Here is a 22,743-nt window from a genome sequence, read left to right as displayed (position 1 = left end):
TACACATCTTGATGTTACCACAAATCTCTAGAGGCCCTTGATGTATTCAAGTCTTCTGTGTAATAAGTCACAAAACTAGTGCTGAACTTAGCTGAGTTGGAAAAAAAAAGAAAAAGGGCAACGACAAACCACCTGTGACCCAGGCACCCAGCATCTCTCAGTAAGACATTTGCCCTTAAGTCAAAGGCAAGAACTCCAAAAGACAAGCTAAAAAAGAAAAACAGAAAACGTTTTTAAAGATATATCTTTTCTTCCTTAAAGTCCTGCATCAAAATGACACATCCACCATCTAACAAATTAATAAATTCCCTTAAAATTATAAATCCAGCATGGTCTAGACTGTGGGGCAAAAGGCACTCACACCCCAGGGGTGAAAATGTAATCTTGCACTAGGTTTTTAGAGGGTAACTTGGCAACAAATATCAAAAGCCCTAAAAAAAAAAAAAAAAAAAAAGTCTACACTGGGGCCGGGCATGCTGGCTCATGCCTGTAATCCCAGCACTTTGGGAGGCTGAGGGAGGTGGATCACCTGAGGTCAGGAGTTCGAGACCAGCCTGGCAACATGGAGAAACCCTGTCTCTACCAAAAATACAAAAATTAGCTGGGCATGGTGGCAGGCACCTGTAGCCCCAGCTACTCGGGAGGCTGAGGCAGGAGAATCGCTTGAACCTGGGAGGCAGAGGTTACAGTGAGCCAAGATTGTGCCACCACACTCCAGCCCGGGTGACAGAGACAGACTCTGTCTCAAAAAAAAAAAAAAAAAAAAAAAAAAGTCTTGATTGTTTGACTGAATGATTGCTTCTACTAGTTTTTACTGCAATAATTAGATATTCATATAAATATGTATGTAGAAAGGTATTCATGGCAGCATTACTTATAATAATGAAAAATAAAAAACAACAATAGAGGGTGAATTAAAGATTAAATTAATGACAGGGCGAGGCATGGTGGCGGGTGCCTGTAATCTCAGCTACTTTGGAGGCTGAGGCAGGAGAATCACTTGAACCCAGAAGGCAGAGGTTGCAGTGAGCGGAGATCGCGCCACTGTACTCCAGTCTGGGCAACAGAGCGAGACTCTGTCACGAAAAAAAAAAAAAAGAGAGAGAATGAATGACAGAACATTCACAAGGAAAAATATTACACAGCCATTTAAAAGCTAAATTCTTGAAAAAATAAGAAAATGTGAAAATACACATGACAAGTGTAAAAAGCAGCATAAAACTATGTAAAAACTACATTACCAAATACACATCTAAAGGTACAAGGAAAAAAAAGACTGTAAAGATATGGCATTATGGATGATTTATTCTCTTTCAAATTGGCTCCAAAGAACATATATGACTTTTACACGTGAAGGAAAAGGCAAATGATTTTTAGAAAAATTTTGCCTAGTGTTTGCTAGCAGTTTTTACCACACTCCTTCCCACAAGTCTAATTTTCACACACACAAAATACTCTAATGTTTTCCAAAACTTCCTTCATAAACTGACTCTAAACCAACTCCTGCATTTGCAGCTGAACCTGAAAAACTCAGATGGAAATTATTCTAATTTCATTCAACAAGTAGCATTTCACCCACCCAAAGACTGAGTAGGTGAGAGAAGAACCATACTTAGCAACCATATCCTTAGCTTTAAACTTAATAGTTACAATATTCAATTAAAAAAAAAAAACAGTTAAACCCATATTGAAATAATGCTAAAAACAGACATGCTGCCTGTGCCAATTATTTTCCCTAGTGGGAGACTTTCCAGGTTAAACATCAATGTTGGTGGAATTCCTTCCCATAATTAAGGAAAGAGTGAAAAAGAAGGAACCTGCAACACCTACTTTCCTGTACAGGAAAGAAGATCTCTGACAAAATGTAGGCCCTGGAAACCCCAAAGCCTTCTCTCAAAGACTATAAGGATCTCTCTCCACCGTCTCCTCCTATAATGTTGAAGGATTTCTCATTGCCTGTCCTTGGAGAATCCCATTCAGCGTGCACACAGCAAAACTGCTGTTAAAAAATCAGCTGAAATCTGGATTAAAATAATAATTTACCTTGATGTATGAGCACATTAGCAGCAAACAAAACACAACATAGATCAGTGGTAGGAACTGTTCCTTGTGCTTAGTTAACAGGACTTTTCTTAAAGATAACCATGCAATCTAAAGTGGACCTGTACCACCGCCCCCAAGCACTAAGTCTGTGCTAGCCAAAGCCACTAGCCAAGTGTGCCTACTGAGTATGTGAAATGTGGTTAATCCAAGTTGAGGTGTGCTCTAAGTATAAAATACACACCAGATTTAGAAGACTTAATGCAAAGAAAATGCAAAATATCTCAATTATTTATATATATTATAATGGTAACATTATGAACATACCGGTTATAAGTTACATTAAGTTAGTTTCCCTCACTCTTTACTTTTCAAAATGTGGCTACTAGAATATTTAAAATTGCACATCTTGCATTGGATCTCCATTCCACTCTGCTGTTCTAAGCCATCATCACATTGTTTATCTTCTTTAGAGTTCACATCACCATCTGAAACGGTCCTGTTGGTTTGTGGGGTGTATTAGTCCATTTTCAGACTGCTATAAAGAACTGCCAGTTCTTTATAACATAATTTAAATCATAGTGAGAGAAGAACTATACTTAGCAACTATATCCTTAGGTTTAAACTTAATAGTTACAATATTCAATTTAAAAAAAAGTTTAAACCCATATTGAAATAATGCTAAAAATAGTCATGCTGCCTGTTCCAATTATTTTTCCCAGTGGGAGACTTTCCAGGGTAATTTATAAACTAAAGCAGTTTAACCGACCCACAGTTCAGCATGGCTGGGGAGGCCTCAGGAAACTTACAATCATGGCAGAAGGCGAAGGGGAGGCAAGGCACCTTCTTCACAAGGCAGCAGGAAGGAGAAGAGCCCAGCAGGGGGAAAGAGCCCCTTATATAGAACCATCAGATCTCGTGAGAACTCACTATCACAAGAACAGCATGGGGGAACCTGCCCCAGTGATTCAACTACCTCCACTATGTCTCTCCCTTGATACATAGGGATTATGGGGATTACAATTCAAGATGAGATTTGGGTGGGGACACAAAGCCTAAATATATCATGGGGTTTACTTATTATGGGTCCCATCCGCCCCAATACTACAGAAGAAAAGCCCCTTTACAACAGGATTTCACTGTCCTATCCACTGTCAAATACTCAGCACCTAGAACCCAGCAGGTGTGCCCGATGTCGTGATTAGGGAATAAATGATGAGTGAAGATTATACATAAATAACCACACTGCCATCGGTGAGTCTCATCCCCCAGTGAGCCAGCTCCTCTGCTAAGCCAATACTTCGGAAGTGAATCTTCCCCTGCCAATCCATCCTGACTTTCTCCCTAACTGTGCCCAAGCACACCTCATGGGTCCCACCTTGGGCTAGTGCTGGGTGTGGAGGTGTGAGATGAGCACCCAGTTCCGATCCTGGCCTGGGACAGCTAAGCTTAGCCATGTCACAGCTTCTGTGGGCCTCTGCTTTCAAAAAAAAGACATTTCTTTGTGGTAAAATGCTAAACTAAGACTCCTCTAGGAAGAACAGAGCTGCCTTTTCTAAGGCTTCTCCCTCAGAACCTCTTGCCCCTTATTTCATGTGTCACTCTTTCTTTTTTTTTGAGACAGTCTCAGTCTGTCACCCAGACTGGAATGGGGTGGTGTGATCTCAGTTCACTGCAACCTCCGCCTCCCAGGTTCGAGCGATTCTCGTGCCTCAGTCTCCCGAGTAGGTGGGATTACAGGCGTCTGCCACCATGCCCGGGCCAATTTTTGGATTTTTAGTAGAGATGGGCTTTCACCATGTTGGCCAGGCTGGTCTCAAACTCCTGACCTCAAGTAATCTGCCCACGTTGGCTTCCGAAAGTGCTGGAATTACAGAAGTGAGCCACCACGCCCAGCCAAAGGTATCCTCTTTTAAAAGCCAACCCTCACCCTCAGGGAGGGCGCTGCACTCAGGCCTGGGCTAGACACCCCTGTCCAGAGGGTTCCTGGGGTGGTCCCCAGAAGCTCCAACATTTGACGGCGCACACACACACACACACACACACACGTGCACACACATGGAAGAAGGCCGAGAGGCCTCCTGCAGGGACCCATGTGCTATCCGCCCTCTGCACACACCCAGGCTCTGGGGTCTTGCACTCAAGTCAGTCAACGTCAGGAAACGACAGGCCGTCCCATCCCTCCGAGCTGTTCTCCAGCACACATTTGGGGAGTGTTTTGGTTATGTGTAATTCCTCTACTAAATTGAGATGGCTGCAAATGTGATGTGTGTGTGTGTGTCCGGGAGAAGCATGTCAATAAGGTAATGAAGGCCAGTCCCAGTCCCTGGGACACAGATTGGGTCTGCAACCCAGATGAACAAAATCATCAGAAGCTGGGGCTGCTCGAAGATGTGTCTTCCACGCCTTCTGAACATCTTCCTCCAATGTAAAGTCACCTGTTAGAACGCTGAACTAACCAGAGTGGTTAACCTTACTAGACTCCAAAGGGGGTTTAAAAACAGGCAAAACCAATACCCAGATTTGCTAAGCTTCCCCCTCCCCACCACTTCCCACCATAGCCTGTGCTCTGAAACCCACTGGCTTATGTTTAAAATCACCTCCGTTTCACACAAGCTGTTGTCATTCCCTCCCCAAACCAATATTCAGTATTTGTTTTCCATCATTTCCCCTCTATTTAGCCAACAAAATGCCTAACAGGCCTGCAAGTGCCTTTCTCTCACTGGTCTAGGGTGTGTGCCATTTGCTTGCTTCCCGACTGTTGGAAAGCGAACACTCTCCCCAGAGTGCCTCAGAGGTGGCCTTTCAGCTTCAAGGACACATTTTTAAATTTAGCAAAACCCTCCATTATATGGTAGAAAAAGCTGAAGTTCTGACTGCTTAGAATGGCCTATACTTTCTTTTATTTAGGGATGTATAGAATTGTTAAGCATAATCACAAAATTAAGCTATTATTAAAATGCAAAAATTGAATTTTGGTGTTGCTCCAAGTCACTGAGCTTTCACCAGCATTTCGCACAGCAAGGCGGATGCAGCTGACTAAACACCACCTCACTGGTCTACACGGCCCCTCTGCACATGAATAAATCTTACTAGTAAATGCAAGCAAAATTAAAGGCACTTTTTCAATGACAGCCCGAGAAGCTAAGGAAATAATAAGTGTGGTTATTACAAAACCACAGAGGAATCATAAAAATCAAACCTCCAAATACTGTAAAGGGGAATGAGTTTTTTGAGGAGATAGTAAGCTTTTTGAAAGACTGTTATCTTTTCCCTTTTGTTAAAGTTTTAGACCCAAACACTGTAAACCGGTATCTATGCAAATGGCACAGCATACGTGTTACCTTCTCAAAGAAACCATTTCTAATTGTTTCCATTTTTTTTGGAAAGTAACTTTTCCCACTCTGTACTCCCAAAGCACGTAGTCCTCTGTAACCACATTTTTTTTTTTGTTGTTGTTGAGACACAGTCTTGCTCTGTCGCCCAGGCTGGAGTGCAGTGGCATGACCTCGGCTCACTGCAAGCTCCGCCTCCCGGGTTCACACCATTCTCCTGCCTCAGCCTCCTGCGTAGCTGGGACTACAGGCGCTCGCCATCACACCCGGCTAATTTTTTGTATTTTTAGTAGACACGGGGTTTCACCGTGTCAGCCAGGATGGTCTCGATCTCCTGACCCTGTGATCTGCCAGCCTCGGCCTCCCAAAGTGCTGGGATTACAGGCGTGAGCCACTGTGCCCGGCCTGTAACCACAGTTTCTAATGGCGTATCTTATTCCTAAGACTGAAATATTTAGGGTTGGGGTGCCTACTTTCCGATGATCTAGCGCAAGAGGAGGCTGTGTCTGTGCACATGTGTGTGTGCACACAGGGGAGGGAGGGAGATAGACAGAGTGGGTGTGCCGAGTTGTTAACAGTTGCTGGATCCAGACAGAGGAATACCCAAGTGTTCATTGCTCTGTACTTTCAACTTTTCTGTTTGAAAGTTTCCGAAAGAAAATAATTTTGAAGTGAAAAAACAAACAGAAGGGGCTCAATCAGTGCTTGTCCAATAAAGTAAAAAACTGTTGTTTTTTGGTTTTGGTTTTGGCTACTAAGTGACCATCTAGTGGTTGAGTAAGAGGACTACGGAAACTTCTTATCCAATAAGTGTTTAAGCTTCCACCTCCAGGCACTGTGGTAGGTGCTGCAGATGAAGTGATGAACAGGCCTCTGTCCTGACCCTACCGACCCTTGGCCAATGTGGAGCAGATGACACCACTGGAGATGCCATAAGGCATTTGGATGGGAGGTGAGGAGGAGCTGTGTAAGGAAGGAGAGGAACATCCATCTTTTCTTGGAGGAGGAGGAAGGGGGAACCAAGGAGCACTCAAAGATCACATCACAACCAGTAAATATTTGTGTAATAAACGAACAAAGTATATGCAAGTTGAATGATGTCTTGAAGCACCCGGCTGAATCTGTCCACGTGTGGGGACAGGGTGAAACAATCCAAGCAAAAACAGTAGGGACGACAACCTTCTCCTCCCACCCGCTGCTCTCCAAGCTCCATTTCAGGACTCGCAGCACGCAGGGGACTGATGTAGAAAAATACCCGGAGGTCTTTATGATGACTTTTGATTCCCTGCCCAATGGTTTGCTGAAGATGAGTCCATGGGATCTGTCAAAATGGAAAATCTCTCTTTACACCAGCAGTGGACTGCACCAGAAGTCTTCAGGAGGGTCTGATTTCTTCTCAGCAGCTCTTTGGGGTTGCTGAGTTTCCTCTGCTACTTGGTTCCTTTGCTTCGCATGCTGATGGCCCCAGCGTTGACTCCTGGCTTGGTTGGATGGGTCAGTCTGCACCGCCCTCCCTCTCCAAGGCTGTGGTGGTGGAGCTGTTTGCCAACTATGGCTGCTCACCCCATAGGGAATTCTCTTCCGATGGCTTTGCAAATCAGGCTTCAAGTTGCAGACAGTGGAGAGGCCCATGAAGTCCCCATGAAGCTCCTTTTGTGCACCCCAGGGGGGTCACATAATTAAAAAGTGACTAAGGTATGACCTTTTGGGAACCAATGGTGGGATTCATCACCAAGAGGGTCAATTTGATAATCAGAGGGGAACTCTGAAATCCAAGTTCATGGCATCTCCTCTCCATTTTCCAGAAAATAACCGCAGATGCTACTGACAGCTCAGAGAGAGAAACACATCTGTGGAAATGGCTGGGCCTTTCTCTTTAAAATGGAGTGTTTCTTAAAAAACAAAAAGCTGAGCGAGAGCCCACTGTACACACTTCATTTCTTTCCTATATGGCTTTTTGTTAGCTCAGGAATATATTTTTCTTCTCAATATTATTTCCTATAACTATATTTTGACTATTGCAGCCAAAGAAGGATTAGTTTACATCATGATTATAAGCATCGCAGAATATAGGAAAACATATATATAAATTGCAAAAAGGTCCACTCTTCATGATTTTTTTTTTCTTTTTTGAGACTGAGTTTCACTCTTATTGCTCAGGCTAGAGTACAAGGATGTAATCTCAGGTCACTGCACCCTCCACCTACTGGGTTCAAGCGATTCTCCTGCCTCAGCCTCCGAGTAGCTGGGATTACAGGCATGCGCCATCACACCTGGCTAATTTTGTATTTTTAGTAGAGACGGGGTTTCACCATGTTGGCCAGGCTGGTCTGGAACTCCCAACCTCAGGTGATCCACCCGCCTTGGCCTCCCAAAGTGCTGGGATTACAGGCGTGAGCCACTGCGCCCGGCCTCTTCATGATTTTATGTTATTCCAAGCAACTTATTTTCACATGGATTATTTGCAAGTGGGTAAGCCATTATTCGTGTGCATTTTGCATGGGCAAAGCCCTTCTATCTCTTTCTTAAAAAGAACATTAAGGCTATGTGTAAGAATGAAATGTTAGGATCAATGATTTTCTCAACCAACATCAAACAATAGATGAACTTGATCAGCATGGTTCACAAAAGGTGATGCTCCTCAGCCAATCTCTAAAAGAACCAGTCGCATGTTTCAAACAGCACCAGAGCACCACAGAGCACGATGGGCATGCCAGACCCCCTCACTGCCAACCATCCTGGCCCAGGACAACGATGGCAGCAATGATGATGACAATGAAAGATGTTGTTGAAGACGATGCTGGCCATCATCTGAGGGCCCCATAGAAACCAGATACTTCCGGCATATTTTTCAATACAGTCTCTCCATTCCTTACGATATCCCTGCAAAGGTGTCCTTATGCAGGGGAGGCTACTGAGGCAGAGCCACTCTGGTCACAGAGCTAGAGACCCCCCAGGAGTCTAGCTGCGGTCAGCCTGAACCCCGCGTGCTGTTCCTCCCCATCCACTACGCTGCAGGAGAGGTCCTCAAGCCTGCCTCTGGGAGGCCCAAGTGAGTCGTGCTCCTCTCTTCCCTCCCCTTCAAGGCCAGCCTTTCTGTATTAAAGTGAAATTTAACGCCACAGATATTTACCCTAAGAACTCTCTTGGTGTGGGCTATTGTGAAGGGTGTTGCAGGAAGATGTAAGGAAAAGGAAAGCCACGTTTATCTCTGGTTAACCTCGTGGCTGCAAGTTGCGTGGGAAGGTGCCGCGCCGTTTTATTAGAAAGGCATATACATGATGCTGTTTCTTAAACAGAATCACGATGTTCCCATCAAGGGTTGAAATGAACCTTTCACCATCAATGTCCACGAATTCACGATTTCCCACAGCTTTTTCTTTTTCCTTCCACATCTCTATGTGTTTCTTTCCCAGTGAGGTCTTCGAATTAAACAAAAAATGAGGTCACCCTTCCCACCGAAGCAACGTACTGGAGTATAAAATGCAAGACACGGCTCTGCGGACCAATGACTTCTGGTACACTGTCTCCAACTCTGTGACCCACACAAGTGCCGTCTCTCCACGACCCTGGGTCTTTGTGTATAGGAAGGTGCAGCTGCCCCACAGTGCAGATGTGCAGACAAACCTCCAGGGCCTGTGAACCCCTAAACTTGCATGCACGTGTTTGGTAAGTACATCATGTATACTTATGGTGTGGAGAGGCCCATACTTTTCCCCAAATTCTCCAAGAGAACTATGGCCAATAAGAGCTAAGTATCGGCTGGGCACAGTGGCTCATGCCTGTAATCCTAAGCACTTTGGGAGGCTAAGGCGGGTGGATCACTTGAGGTCAAGAGTTCGAGACCAGCCTAATCAACATGGTGAAATCCCGTCTCTACTAAAAACACAAAATCAGCCAGATGTGGTGGTGCACACCTGTAATCCCAGCTACTTGGGAAGCTGAAGCAAGAGAATCGCTTGAACCTGGGAGGCGGAGGTTGCAGTGAGCTGAGATGGCGCCATTACACTCCAGTCTGGGCAAGAAGAGCAAAACTCCGTCCCAAAGAAAAAAAAAAAGAGGTAAGTATCGATGGACTCAGATATCTCTATCTTCAAAATTATTTGATTCTACAAAATAATGAAAGCATGTCTATGATTTCACAGAAAGCTAAAGATGTCATCCCTGCCCCTCCCACCCACATATCCTTGTTATGTCATGACACGTCCAGGCTCACGGATCTCTGCTTACTTTGGCCATTCCTGGATCTATCTACGGTTTCCTCCCCCTGCCTCAAGCCCAGACATAGGTTTTCCGCTCTGCTATGTTGAAGCTGAGATAGCTATTTCAAAAAGAGATACTCCACACCAGGAAAGGAAAATGCCAAGGCAGGGAACAAAGGTCTAGACATCTTGAATAGGAACAGTTGGGAATGGACCCGGGGACAGCATAGTTAAGCCTGGGCACTGTGAAAAGAAATGTCCCACTCCAAGGTGAGGTGGGTAGGAATCTGGCAGGTCTAAAGCACAGGCTGGGAGGGCTCCAATCGCCATGTCAAGTGGCCTCCTCCGGCTTCCGGTCCACCTCTGCCCTACCCCTGCGGCTCCTTCTCAACAAGCTGCTCTAACTGCTGCGGGGCACCCCTGGGGAGCAGACAGGAATTCAGTTGGAGCCCCACAGTTTAGAGAGAACCAGGGGACTTTCAGGGACACACAGAGGATGATTACAAACTAAGAAGTAGCAAAGCAAGTGACAGCCCAGCCTACGGCTTCTATTGTTCTCTGCTAAAAGCCACTTGTCCCAAGAACCCCTCCCCTCTCAGCCCTGTAGGAAGGGCAAGATGAAAGGCTCCTTTTACTGAGCCATCAGGAGCCTCCACAAAAGATGCATCACTAATTCCAGAAGACAGGAGCTCTCCCAGGACACCAGATCCTTCTCAACTTTGTCAAGAGTCCCTCAGCTGCCTCTTATACTCACTTCTCTCTCTCCTAGTTTTCCTTTGCACTGGGGATGGCCAGGTGTTAGAGGTGATCTGACCCTGTGACAGAACCTGCTTCACCAGGTCCTGTATCCAGAAATCTCAACTTTTCTGCCCATGCTGCTGCCAAACATATTATTCATAGCTCAAGACAAGCCATCTACCTGCAGCCTAGCATTTCACTCGTTGCAGTTGCCCTCTAGCCCTACCCAGTGAAAAGGAACATTAATCTAGGAATGTTTTCCTGTTGTACTACAAGTTGATGTCAATCATCCACATGGCTCCCAACACTGTTCATTAAGCAGGATGTACCTGCCCATATGCAAATATCAAGCCCCATTAAACATGCAGGAAGTAACCTTTACTCTCTTAGTCAGGCACCTTGTTGCAAGAGAGAAACTCAAACACAAGTCTGAAGACCACTGAGAACCTTTACATTTTCACCAATTCTTCCATGGTAGGGCTGCACAAAGTGCTTATTATCACACCAGTATTTCATAAGATGTGTCATGACGTAGTAAGGCCAAGAGTAAAGATAAGTAGGAGGAAGTAATGAAGGAATGTTCTTGCTTTCAAGCCTTACATTAAAAGAAAAAAAAAAGGCTTTTAGAGGTTAAAAGTTTAATTACTAGTGGAAGAATAACTTGGTATAATGTGTGTAGGGCAACAGGGAGTATCCACCAAAATTTGAATTGTACATTTTTTGAACCAGCAGCCCAGCAATTCAGCATTTAGGAATTTATTTGACTGACTTACTCTCAAGTGTGCAAAGGCACAGGCAGCCATACAGAGCTAATGATCACTGATCACTCACTGTGTCCCAGGCATTATTCTGGGTATCATATGCACTGGCTATTTTATTCTACATACCCATCATATATTATTAATATTCCCATTTTACAGAGGGGAAACCTGCAGACATGAGAGATAAAGCAACTTGCTCAGAGTCGACGAACTGGCAACTGCTGGAGCCAAGATTCAAATCCAGGCAGTCAAAGGATATTCACTGCAGCTTTGTTTTAAAAAGGCAAAACACGGCATGTTTTTTACTTAAATGCCCATCAACTGGGCTCTGCTTAAATAAATTTTGGCACATCCACACAACGAAGCACTACTGAACAATTGCAAAATAAGTTATGTCTCTGTGCTGATGGTGAAAGAGGTCCAAGATCTATACTGTTAATGAAAAAAGCAAGTCTCAGAACTGTAGGATGATATAATGTAGGGCAGAGATACCTCAAAAGCAGTTCTTAAACGACACAACGAGACTTCAAAAGCGGTTACATCTGCAAAATGAACCTATAGCATGGGAAAAGAAACTTAAAAATAACTGTGCCTGGCTGGGCGCGGTGGCTCTCACCTGTAATCCCAGCACTTTGGGAGGCCGAGGTGGGCGGATCGCCTGAGGTCAGGAGTTCAAGACCAGTCTGGCCAACATGGCAAAACCCCATCTCTACTAAAAAACACAAAAAATTAGCTGGGTGTGGTGGTGAGTGCCTGTAATCCCAGCTACTTGGGAGGCTGAGGCAGGAGAATTGCTTGACCCCAGGAGGCAGAAGTTGCAGTGAGCTGAGATCACGCCACGCAGCCTAGGCAACACAGCAAGATGCCGTCTCGGAAAAAAAATAATTGTGCCCTTCCATCTGTTTGAATTTTCTATCAAGTATTATTTTTATTTTGTAGAGGCAGCGTCTATGTTGCCCAGGAAGAGTCTCGCTGTGTTGGCCAGGCTGGCCTAAAACTCCTGGGCTCAAGCAATCCTCTGGCCACGGCCTCTCAAAGTGCTGGGATTCCATGTGTGAGCCACCATACCAGGATCTATTTTTAATTTTTAAAAGAGTTTTTATAAAAAATATTACAAGTTTATCAATGAAACCAGAGACAGAGAGAGGACAGAATCATGGGCTTTGTATTACAAATATTTTGGCTGGAGGAGAAGGGCAATGCCCTATAAAATAACATGACCAAAATCACCCCACATCTATGTGTGGATGATTTAGAACTAATACCAGGCTACTGATTAAATGAGGTTCTTGATTCCCATGAAAATGACAAAAAGTAAACTGTCTTCGAATTCCTTCTATAGCACATACAAAACCATCAGAGCAATTTAAATACTTGATTCAATGCACTCTTTCCTACTCAACTCTAGGTTGATGGGCTGAGAGGAGAGAAAGCAACAAATGCTCCAGTGAGTAAGGTAAGACAAGGGAAGGAAGGAGTTGAGCCCCACACAGTGCCTGCCAGGGACCGTCCTGGTCCATGCCTGCTGTCTGATCACATGATGTACTACACAACCACCCAACCCAGAGGAGCACACCTAATCCTGGGTAAAGCAAAATTGCTACATAATTCAGAAAGATAATACTGCACAAGAAATCAGTTTTAAAAGTCAAAGAAGAGGAAGGCACAGTTCTCAAAACCCCTGCTCAGGCATTTACGGACACATACTAGTAATTAAAACAGTCAGCCAGGTGCAGTGGCTCACACCTGTAATCCCAGCACTTTGGGAGGCTGAGGGGGGCGGATCACGAGGTCAGGAGATTGAGACCATCCTGGCTAACACAGTGAAACCCCGTCTCTACTAAAAATATAAAAAAAATTAGCCAGGTGTGGTGACGGGCACCTGTAGTCCCAGCTACTTGGGAGGCTGAGGCAGGAGAATGGCATAAACACGGGAGGTGGAGCTTGCAGTGAGCCGAGATGGCACCACTACACTCCAGCCTGGGCGACAGAGCGAGACTCCGTCTCAAAAAAAAAAAAGTCATTTAAGGTGTTAGAAGAACCAGAGAAGGGAGTCATTGTCAAATGCAAATATTTAAAGAAACGTACTTGTACAACTTGGAATGGTTCCCTCAAGAAAGAATAAAAATTTAGAAAACATGATATGAAAATATAAGAAAACGTTTTATTCTAAAAATGAGCAAATCTTCAAAAATCAGATAATTTTTATCCACAGCTTTTCATATTTGTAATTCTCTTAGGAAATGTGCGAGAAAATCCCTGGTTTTAATGAGTTTCCAAAGCCCTGTTGCAAGACAAATCACTACTCCATAAAACAGGTTTGCCACTGAAAAAGTGATATAATTGGAGGTTTTATTCCTGATCAAGCCTTCAAAGTCAAGTAAACTATAATCAGGACCAGCAGTACATCAAAAGGTCACACTCCACTATAGCTCTCTGTCATCATTACAGCAGAAAATTATACTCTTGGCCCTAAAGTGCGGGCAGAAGTTTGTTCGTTCATATTTAATACATTTTCACTGAGCATTCCGTGTGTCAAGCATATATATATATTCTACATATATGAAATGTCATAGTGCTAGGTGCCCCATTAAATACACAAATAACTCATAAAAAATAGGAAAGTGCAATGGAGTCCTAGCATACCTAAATATATTTTAACTATAACATTAATGGCTTCATCAAAAACAATTTTTTTTTTTTTGAGACAGAGTCTTGTTCTTTCACCCAGGCTGGAATGAAGTGGCACCATCTCGGCTCACTACAACCTCTGCCTCCCAGGTTCAAGCTATTCTGCCTCAGCCTCCCAAGTGGCTGGGATTACAGGCGTACATCACCACACCCGGCTAATTTTTGTATTTTTAGTAGAGATGGGGTTTCACCATGTTGTCCTAGCTGGTTTTGAACTCCTGACCTCAAGTGATCCACCCACTTCGGCCTCCTAGACAATTTTCTTAGAGTTTGACAGGATTTTCCATGATGATCTGAGTGGATCTTGCTCTTTTAAAAGTACTCCAAGAAAGTTGAAACTATCGCAATTTATCTTAATAAACTTCTTCGCAGTAAGTACAGAAAGGCATCATTCCACTGACCTAGAATAACTCTCAGAGCCTTTGTTAAACAGAAACAGATGGTTTTATCATGACTTCTGAGGGTTGTGACGACAATGATCAGAACAGTGTTTCTCCCACACAAAAGCATTACTAATCAAACACATACTACTTTTTGCCCATTGACTTAGCCAAAAAAAAAAATAGGCTTTTCCCCAGTAACTTTATGCTTTATGCAGGCAAAAACACAAGCAAACAGAAAGTCTATACATTGTTGATGACACTGAAATTAGTACCATGCCTTTGGAAAGCAACTTGGAAACATCTGTCGAGAATCATAAAAAATTCACCACTTAGAAAAATAATATGAACAACTTACAAATACTACCCTTAAGAAATAACTAGAAATTAAAAGAAAAAGAAAAGCCAAATACACAAAGTTATTCATTACAGGTTATTCACAACAGCAGTAAATTAGAATATATGTAGTATAGGAGAGAAATGTGTGAATTTTAAAAATTTTGAAAATTACAAAATTACTCTGTTAGGATATAATGCTCAATGAAGAGAACCAGATACAAAAAAACTAAGTACACAGTTACGTATAATGTGGAAATAAAATAATGAAAGAAAATACACCATCATAACGCAATTAGGGGTGGGATTATTATGTGTTAGGGGTGGATTCTTGCAGAATTTCTCAGCCTTGGCACTACTGGCATTTTGGGCTGGATCACTCTTTCTTGTTGGTGGTAATGGGGGGGTGTCTGTCCAGTACATACAGGATGTTGAGCAGCATCCCTAACCTCTACCCACTAGACGCCAGTAGCAGCCCTCCAGCCCCAGTATAACAATAAAAAATGTCTCCAGACACTGTCAGGTGTCTCCTGGGAAGCAAAATCATCCCTGATTGAGAACCACTATGTTTAAGTTACTTCTTTTGTCTACTCCCTATTTTTTCTGTCTTATTATTACACATATTTTTATAAAAATAAAAATAAATGGCAGCTGGGCGCAGTGGCCTGCTGTAATCCCAGCACTTTGGGAGGCTGAGGCAGGCAAATCACTTGAGGTCAGGAGTTCAAGACCAGCCTGGCTGACATGGTGAAACCCCATCTCTACTAAAAATACAAATATCAGCCGGGCATGGTGGCACGCGCCTGTAGTCCCGGCTACTCGGGAGACTGAGGCAGGAGAATCGCTTAAGCCTGGGAGGTGAAGTTGCAGTGAGCTGAGATTGTGCCACTGCACTCCAGCCTGGGCAACAGAGTGAGACTCTGTCTAAATAAATAAATAATAGCTGAAGCCAATATTTAATGACTATCTCTTTACTCAAAACTAAAAGCATTTCTCTTCAGTGCATTGCCCCCGAGTAGAGATCACAAGACTAGCAGGTCTGTCTCTTCCACAATGTGGAAGACCAGCCCTAGGGTCACTCTGAAGGCCAAGGTTTGGCAGGACACCAGGTTTTCTCCACCAAAGCAGCTCCCCCAGGATAACCTTCCTTGCCTTGCACCGCTCCATCTGTGCAAAGTTAATCCACATCTAAAAGTTTCCCATAATGGTGACAAACAGAGGAAGACATCACCATCTCTCTCACAACATTTAGTATTTTGCTGCCATGGTTTTGGAGCACCTTATTCTCCACTGAGAAACATCCAACACATCATTGTATTACCAGCCTCCGTTTCAAATGGAGTTTCGAATCCTTTCCTAATTACTACAGAGCTCCACAAACAAGAGTGAAATCCTATTTTGACTGGCCACATGCTGTTGCTTTGGAAACAACAGGTCAGAGAGAAATCACAGAATGTCTAAAAAGTGATGGTAAAAGAAGCTAAACTATTTCTTAGAAGCCAGCAAGCAGGGCAGTAAAATTGAAAACCTGGAAGACAGTGGGGATGGTCTATTAAATTTTAGCTTTATGTGTTAGCAAATCCACATCTATTTTGCTGCTCCATGCTACATAAGTACATTCATAGGCAAATCTGACTCCTTGTAGAATAGAGCAAGATATGGAATGAAGTCCAAACTGGCCTCAAGCTACCTTTACAACCTTGATTGTCCAATCCTTCTCCTCCTCTCAAATTTAAACTTCATGGCCCTCCCTCTCATGCTGATGCCCAGTGGTCATTTCATTTCTACCTGGATGTCCATGGGGTTGTCATCCTGAACCTTCCACCAGGTGGATTTAGTCCTTCCACAGGTCATCCATCCAAACAAACCGTCTTTGCTCCTTGAACTCCAAGCTAGAAAAACTGACTCATAATTGGCCTAAAGCTATCTTCAAAATGCTCCATGAGTTTCCCTTTCAAATTCAGAACTTTTCTCCTGTTTGGTCTGGGAGAGAAAGTAGACACCTGGCCAGGCACAGTGGCTCACACTTGTAATCCCAGCACTTTGGGAGGCCGAGGCAGGGGGACTGCTTGAGGCCAAGAGTTTGAGACCAGCCCAGCCAACATAGCGAGACCCCAGCTCTACAAAAAAAATATAAAACTTAGCTGGGCGTGGTGGCTTGCACCTGTAGTCCCTGCTATTCTGGAGGCTGAAGCAAGAGGATCTCTTGAGCCCAGGAGTTCAAGGCTACAGTGAGCTATGATGGTGCCACTGTACTCTAGCGTGAGTGACAGAAAGAGACCCTGTCTCCAAAAAAAAAAAAAGAAAAATAAAAAATAAAAATACCTTAGATTCTTTATAAGGAACAAATGTAAATCTTATATGAGACTGTATTTTTGCCCATTTGGTTTTGCTTTTTATTTTGGGTGCATTCACAGAAGATCTAGCATCATTTCATTGGTTAAACTATCGTGATTCAGGACAAGTAACACACCAAAACACTCTGCTACCCAGTTCTACAATTGCTTTTCTGAATTTAAGTAATTACAATTAGATGAAAAATATGTTATAAAACAATAAAAACATTATTAGACTTAAGTTATTCATGAGAACTGTTTATTATTCCTTTACTGCAGGCAAAAATCATAATTAGCATATATTTATACAATAATTCAAAAATATAGCAGTATTTAACATTAAGTGAGAAGTACTGATTATGCTGGTGGCTAAAATGTACTGGAAATAGCAGGATAAATAAATGGAATACTTAATAACAGTAAGCAGTTTATAAGCATTTACTAAGTGGCAGGTTTATTCCAACCCTTTTAATAAACTTTTCTAATCCTCACAAGAACCCCATGAGGTATCTAATATTATTTTATTCATTTTTGAAAAGGGAATTATTAGGAACCTGAGGAGATACATCACTTACTCCCTGAGTAAAACTACAGAAATTGTACCTACACATCCGAACATATGTATGTATGGGCAGACAATCAAGTTGCATACTTTCAAGTGTTTCTCATAAGGTTGAATACAACACTTAAAAAAAAAAAAACCCTATGAAGCAGCCCACATGAATGCTTTCTTATTTTTGCTTATGTGCTTCTCAAATTGCTCACTGGGGGTAATGTCAAAACACTTCCTAAATTGGATCTCGTCTTAGTAGTCAGCTCAATTTCAGAGCAAAATTAATTTGAGATTGAGGCATTTATTTATTCCCTTAAAAAACTAAACCTATAATTTTAGCATCCTGTGACTAGTAATTGACAGGACAGAGCTGAGTATCACAGTCCATTTTAGAAAAATCAAGGCTATTTTTTTTTTAGCTTTATACTTCAATATCCTTGACTAAAGATCACTTTTAATAGAAATTAGACCTCAAAAATTAACTCGAAAAGATCACAGACCTAAGTGTAGTTGCTAACACTTTAAAATTCTTGGAACAAAGGAATATCCATGACCTTAGATTTGGCAATGGTTTCTTGGCTATGACGCCAAAAGCATAAGTGACCGACCTCCCAAAAAAAGACAAACTGGACTTCCTCAAAATTGAAGTTAGCTTTAACCAATGAAATGCTGCTAAGTCTTTCATGAATGATACCAACAATAAGAAAATCCAAAACCGAACAGGCAAAAAGTGCAGCCTGGTATAAAATTTACATTTGTTCCTTACAAAATTACAATTAGTGAAGCTTCAAAGGGCATCACTAAAAGACAACTCACAGAATAGGAGAAAATTATCTGCAAATCCTGTACCTGATAAAGGGATTCATGTTTAGAATATATAAATAACTCTTCCAACTCAACAATAAAAAGACAACCCAATTAAACAATGGGCAAAGAATATGAAGAAACATTTCTCCAAAACACATATGGCTGATAAGCACATGAAAAGATGCTCAGCATCATTGGTCTTACCAGGCTGACTAAATAAAAAGGATGAACAATAAATGTTGGTGAAGATGTGGAGAAACATGAACTCTACCATACTGCTGGTAGGATTGTAAAATGGGGCCGCTTCTTTGGAAAACAGCTTGGCAATTCCTTAAAATGTTAACCACAGAATTAACATATGATCCAGCAATTTCAGTCCTAGGTATATACCCGAGAGGAATGAACACACACGTCCACAAAAAAACTCATGCACAACTGAATGTTCACAGCAGCACTGTTCATAATAGTCAAAGTATAAACAACTCAACTGTCTACCAACTGATAAATAAAATCAATTACTATTAAGCCATAAAAAGGGGTGAAGTACTGATTCATTCTGCAGTATAAATGAACCTTAAAAATGTAATGCTAAGTGAAAGAAGCCAGACAGTAAAAGCCACATATTATATCATTACTTTTTTTTTTTTTTTGAGATGGAGTCTCGCTCTGTCGCTTAGGTTGGAGTGTAGTGGTGTGATCTTGGCTCACTGCAACCTCTGCCTCCTGAGTTCAAGCATTTCTCCTGCCTCACCCTCCCAAGTAGCTGGGATTACAGCCATGTGCCACCACGCCAGGCTAATTTTTGTATTTTTAGTAGAGACCGGGTTTCACACCATGTTGGACAGGACAGTCTTGAACTCCTGGCCTCAATGATTTGCCCGCCTTGGTCTCCCAAAGTGCTAGGATTACAGGCGTGAGACTTTACGCCCAGCCTGCTCAATTACATTTATATGAAGTGTACAAACTAGGCAAATTCAAAGAGACAGAAAGTAGATTCATGGTTGCCAGGGGCTACAGAGAGGGAGAATAGACAGTGATTGCTAAGGGGTCTGGGGTTTCTTTCTGGAGTGACAAAAATGTTCCAAAGTAGATGGTATTAATAGTCATTCAATTCCGTGAATACTAAAAAACCACCAAAATGGTGAATTTTATGATACATGAATCATACCTCCATATATCCCTTATATTTTAAATGGCATATGTGATAGAGGGAAAAAAATCAGAAGAACATTTTTTTGATACAGAGTCTCGCTCTGTCGCCCAGGCTGGAGTGTAGTGGCCCAATCTCAGCTCACTGCCTTCCAGGTTCAAGCGATTCTCCTGCCTCAGCCTCCTGAGTAGCTGAGACTACAGGCACACGCCACCACAGCCAGCTAATTTTTGTATTTTTAGTAGAGACAGGGTTTTGCCATGTTGCCCAGGCTGGTCTCGAACTCCTCACCTCAGGTGATCCACCCACTTGGGCCTCCCAAAGTGCTGGGATTACAGGCGTAAGCCACCACACCCAGCCTAGAAGAACCTTTATATTAACATGTGGGGTACAATATAATGTGCCCATCAATGGTTCTTAACTTTCCCTTTTATCCATTCACAGTAAACCATGATGAACAGTAATGACAATAATAAGCAGCAGGCCAGGGATAGGGGCTCATGCCTAATCCCAGTACTTTGGGAGGTTGAAGGGGGAGGATCACTTGAGGCCAGGAGTTCAAGACCAGCCTGGGCAATGTAGTGAGAATCTGTCTCTATTAAAAGAAAAAAATTAATTAGCAACCTGCAGCCTGGGAGACAGAGTGAGGTCCTGCCTCAAAAAAAAAAAAAAAAAAAAATATATATATATATATATATAAAACATAGACTTTATATATATATAATAGACATTTTATATATATAATATAGACATTATATATATAATATAGACATATATATAATATAGACATTATATATATAAAATATAGACATATATGTAATATAGATATTATATATGTAATATAGGCATTATATATACATAATATAGGCATTATATATATACATATATACGTATATACATGTATACATGTATATATATACACGTATATCTATATATATAAAAGCAGCTGTGTACCTAGGCTCTGCATTAGCTCAGCCCCAGATAGACCTGGGACAAGTAAATTCCTGTTTCTTGGTTTTCTGAGGTGGCCAAGAGAGTAAGGGGATTGACAACGCTCTAAAATCCTGAGGCTTTGGGGCCTGACACAGCGACTCATGCCTGTAATCCCAGCACTTTGGAAGGCTGAGGCAGGAGGATCACCTGAGGTCAAGAGTTCGAGCCCAGCCTGGCCAACATGGCAAAACCCCATCTCTACTAAAAATACAAAATTAGCTGGGCGTGGTGGCACACACCTGTAATTCCAGCTACTTGGGAGGCTGAGGCAGGAAAATCGCTTGAACCTGGAAGGCAGAGGTTGCAGTGAGCTGAGATCATGCCATTGCATTCCAGCCTGGGCGACAAGAGTGAAACTCCATCTCAAATAAATAAATAAATAAATAAATAAATCCGGAGGCTTTGGGATTTTGCAGGGGACTGAACTCAAGCTCTGAGGTGGTTTGGTGCCACAGTTTCCAGCATCTTCTCTGCCTCAGTCATGCAGGGCTTCTCCACCACTTGAAACCAGCAGAGAGGAGGCCTTGACTTGCCTTTCCAGGGTGTGTACTCACAGGTCCACACAACAAGGAGCTATGCAGAAGCCACAACCTGAAGAAAGGACTTACATGGGGACCCCCACCCATCCTCACCCCCTCTCCCAGATGCCGATGCCCAGGACGGCTCCCCAGATATGCATATCCTGAACTGGTACATGAAGTCTAGTGCTCCAACCCTCGGGCCAGGGGATGAGAGCTGGGGTGGAGGGGTCCTCACCCAGCAGACGACCTATTCAATTTTTTTTTTTTTGAGACAGAGTCTCGCTCTGTCACCCAGGCTGAAGTGCAGTGGCATGATCTCGGCTCACTGCAGCCTCTGTGCAGTCTCTGCCTCCCAGGTTCAAGCGATTCTCCTGCCTCAGCCTCCCAAGTAGCTGGACTTACAGGCGCCCACCACCATGCCCAGATAATTTTTGTAGTTTTAGAAGAGATGGGGTTTTACCATGTTGGCCAGCCCGGTCTTGAACTCCTGACCTCAGGTGATCCACCCGCCTTGGTCTCCCAAAGTGCTGGGATTACAGGCGTGAGCCACCGCGCCAGGCCAGACCACCTGTTCTTTTACTACCACCTTCCACTGCCTGTGCCAGCCTCGCCCATAGCAGTTAGCTTGTCTCTGAACCTCTCCTACTGTGCCAGGGGGCCTTCTCAAACATGACTAGGTATCAGTCAGGGGAGGGTGGTTAAACACTGATTCCTGAAGATTCTGATGCAGCCGGCTTCAGCAGGGCCCAGGAAACCTAGGAAACAGTGTTTCCATCAGGCTGAAGCTTCCTGCCCAGGGACTACACTCCAAGGAGAGCTGGTATGTGGCTCTGTACCCAGCACACAGAAGGAAGTCAATAAATATATACTGAATAAACAATGAAGTCTTTGCTGAGATTGTAAATCATGTTTTGCAAGTGCCCAGCACTTCATTATCCATGACCTCAGTTATCTTCACAGCTCAGCATGTTAGCAAGCAGGTAGCAATATCCCCCTTCACAGTTGTCTGAGGGACCCAGGCTTACGAGGATTAAGCCACATGCCGGGTCCATATGGCTCCTATGGACAGGGCTGGCCAGGAGCTGTGAACCAGAGTGTTTATGAGCCTCTGTATCTTTATATATTTATCTCTTCATTGCATCTCTTTTCCCCCAAATTAACATTTCCTTTGTAGATGACCTGAAGTGTAAAACAAGCCTAAAGCCAACAACTATTTTAAATATTGGCAGAAAAGACACATGCCCTCAAGAACTGCCCCCAGAACTCTAATAACACAAGGCCTGTGAAAGAAACCTGGGGCTTACACAGAACATTTGGAATATGATATGCATGGGATGCTTTTCCCAGAGACTTAAACTGACTTCACCAAGGAGTCACCAGCTACCGGGACAAAATTCAGAGGTAAGGGGATCAGCTAGAAGCACCATCGACTCCACTTCCAACCAAGCAGACCAAGGAAGAATGAAGCATCCATCACTATACAGCCCATGTAGGTATCTGGCTTCAGCCAGCAAGTCCAATGCAAAAGCTGCCTGTTGTACAAACCCGGTACCCTTAAGTCTTCTGAGACCAGGGTTTTTCCGGGTGACAGGCAATAAATATTCATTAACCAGGTGAAGGAACTTCCTTTTCCTCGATCACTTATTACTTACAACTGGACTGATTTCATTTTCAACTGTGTTCATTCTCAAGATCTCCCTCGACGCTTAATCCTCCCAGAACTTCTGCTCACCTGAAATCTTCCACCGAATATACAGGTAAAACTATAAATTCTCCCATTAAGCTATTACCCCCCTCAAGGCTGCATACCATGCAGAAAGGATAAAGATTCAACAGAATAAAGAATGCAACTAAGGCCGGGTGCGGTGTCTCATGCCTGTAATCCCAGCACTTCGAGAGG

The 22,743-nt window shown here is 43.1% G+C and overlaps 1 protein-coding gene across 8 annotated transcripts in view, besides 1 other annotated feature; it reads right to left on the bottom strand.

Annotated features, from left to right (window-relative positions):
- The window catches only part of PRKCA (protein kinase C alpha), a 508,131-nt gene that overhangs the window by 413,014 nt on the left and 72,374 nt on the right, over window positions 1–22,743 (bottom strand). The window lies entirely within an intron of this gene.
- Window positions 17,933–18,133: a silencer, noted in NCBI's record as "peak2943 fragment used in MPRA reporter construct". NCBI's record gives its function as "represses an SCP1 promoter by STARR-seq MPRAs in K562 erythroleukemia cells {active_cell/tissue: K562}" and the evidence as "EXISTENCE:reporter gene assay evidence [ECO:0000049][PMID:32103011]".

Source organism: Homo sapiens, chromosome 17 (assembly GCF_000001405.40).
Source record: "Homo sapiens chromosome 17, GRCh38.p14 Primary Assembly".
Taxonomy (NCBI): domain Eukaryota; kingdom Metazoa; phylum Chordata; class Mammalia; order Primates; family Hominidae; genus Homo; species Homo sapiens.
This window is presented reverse-complemented; position numbering and strand designations above follow the sequence as displayed.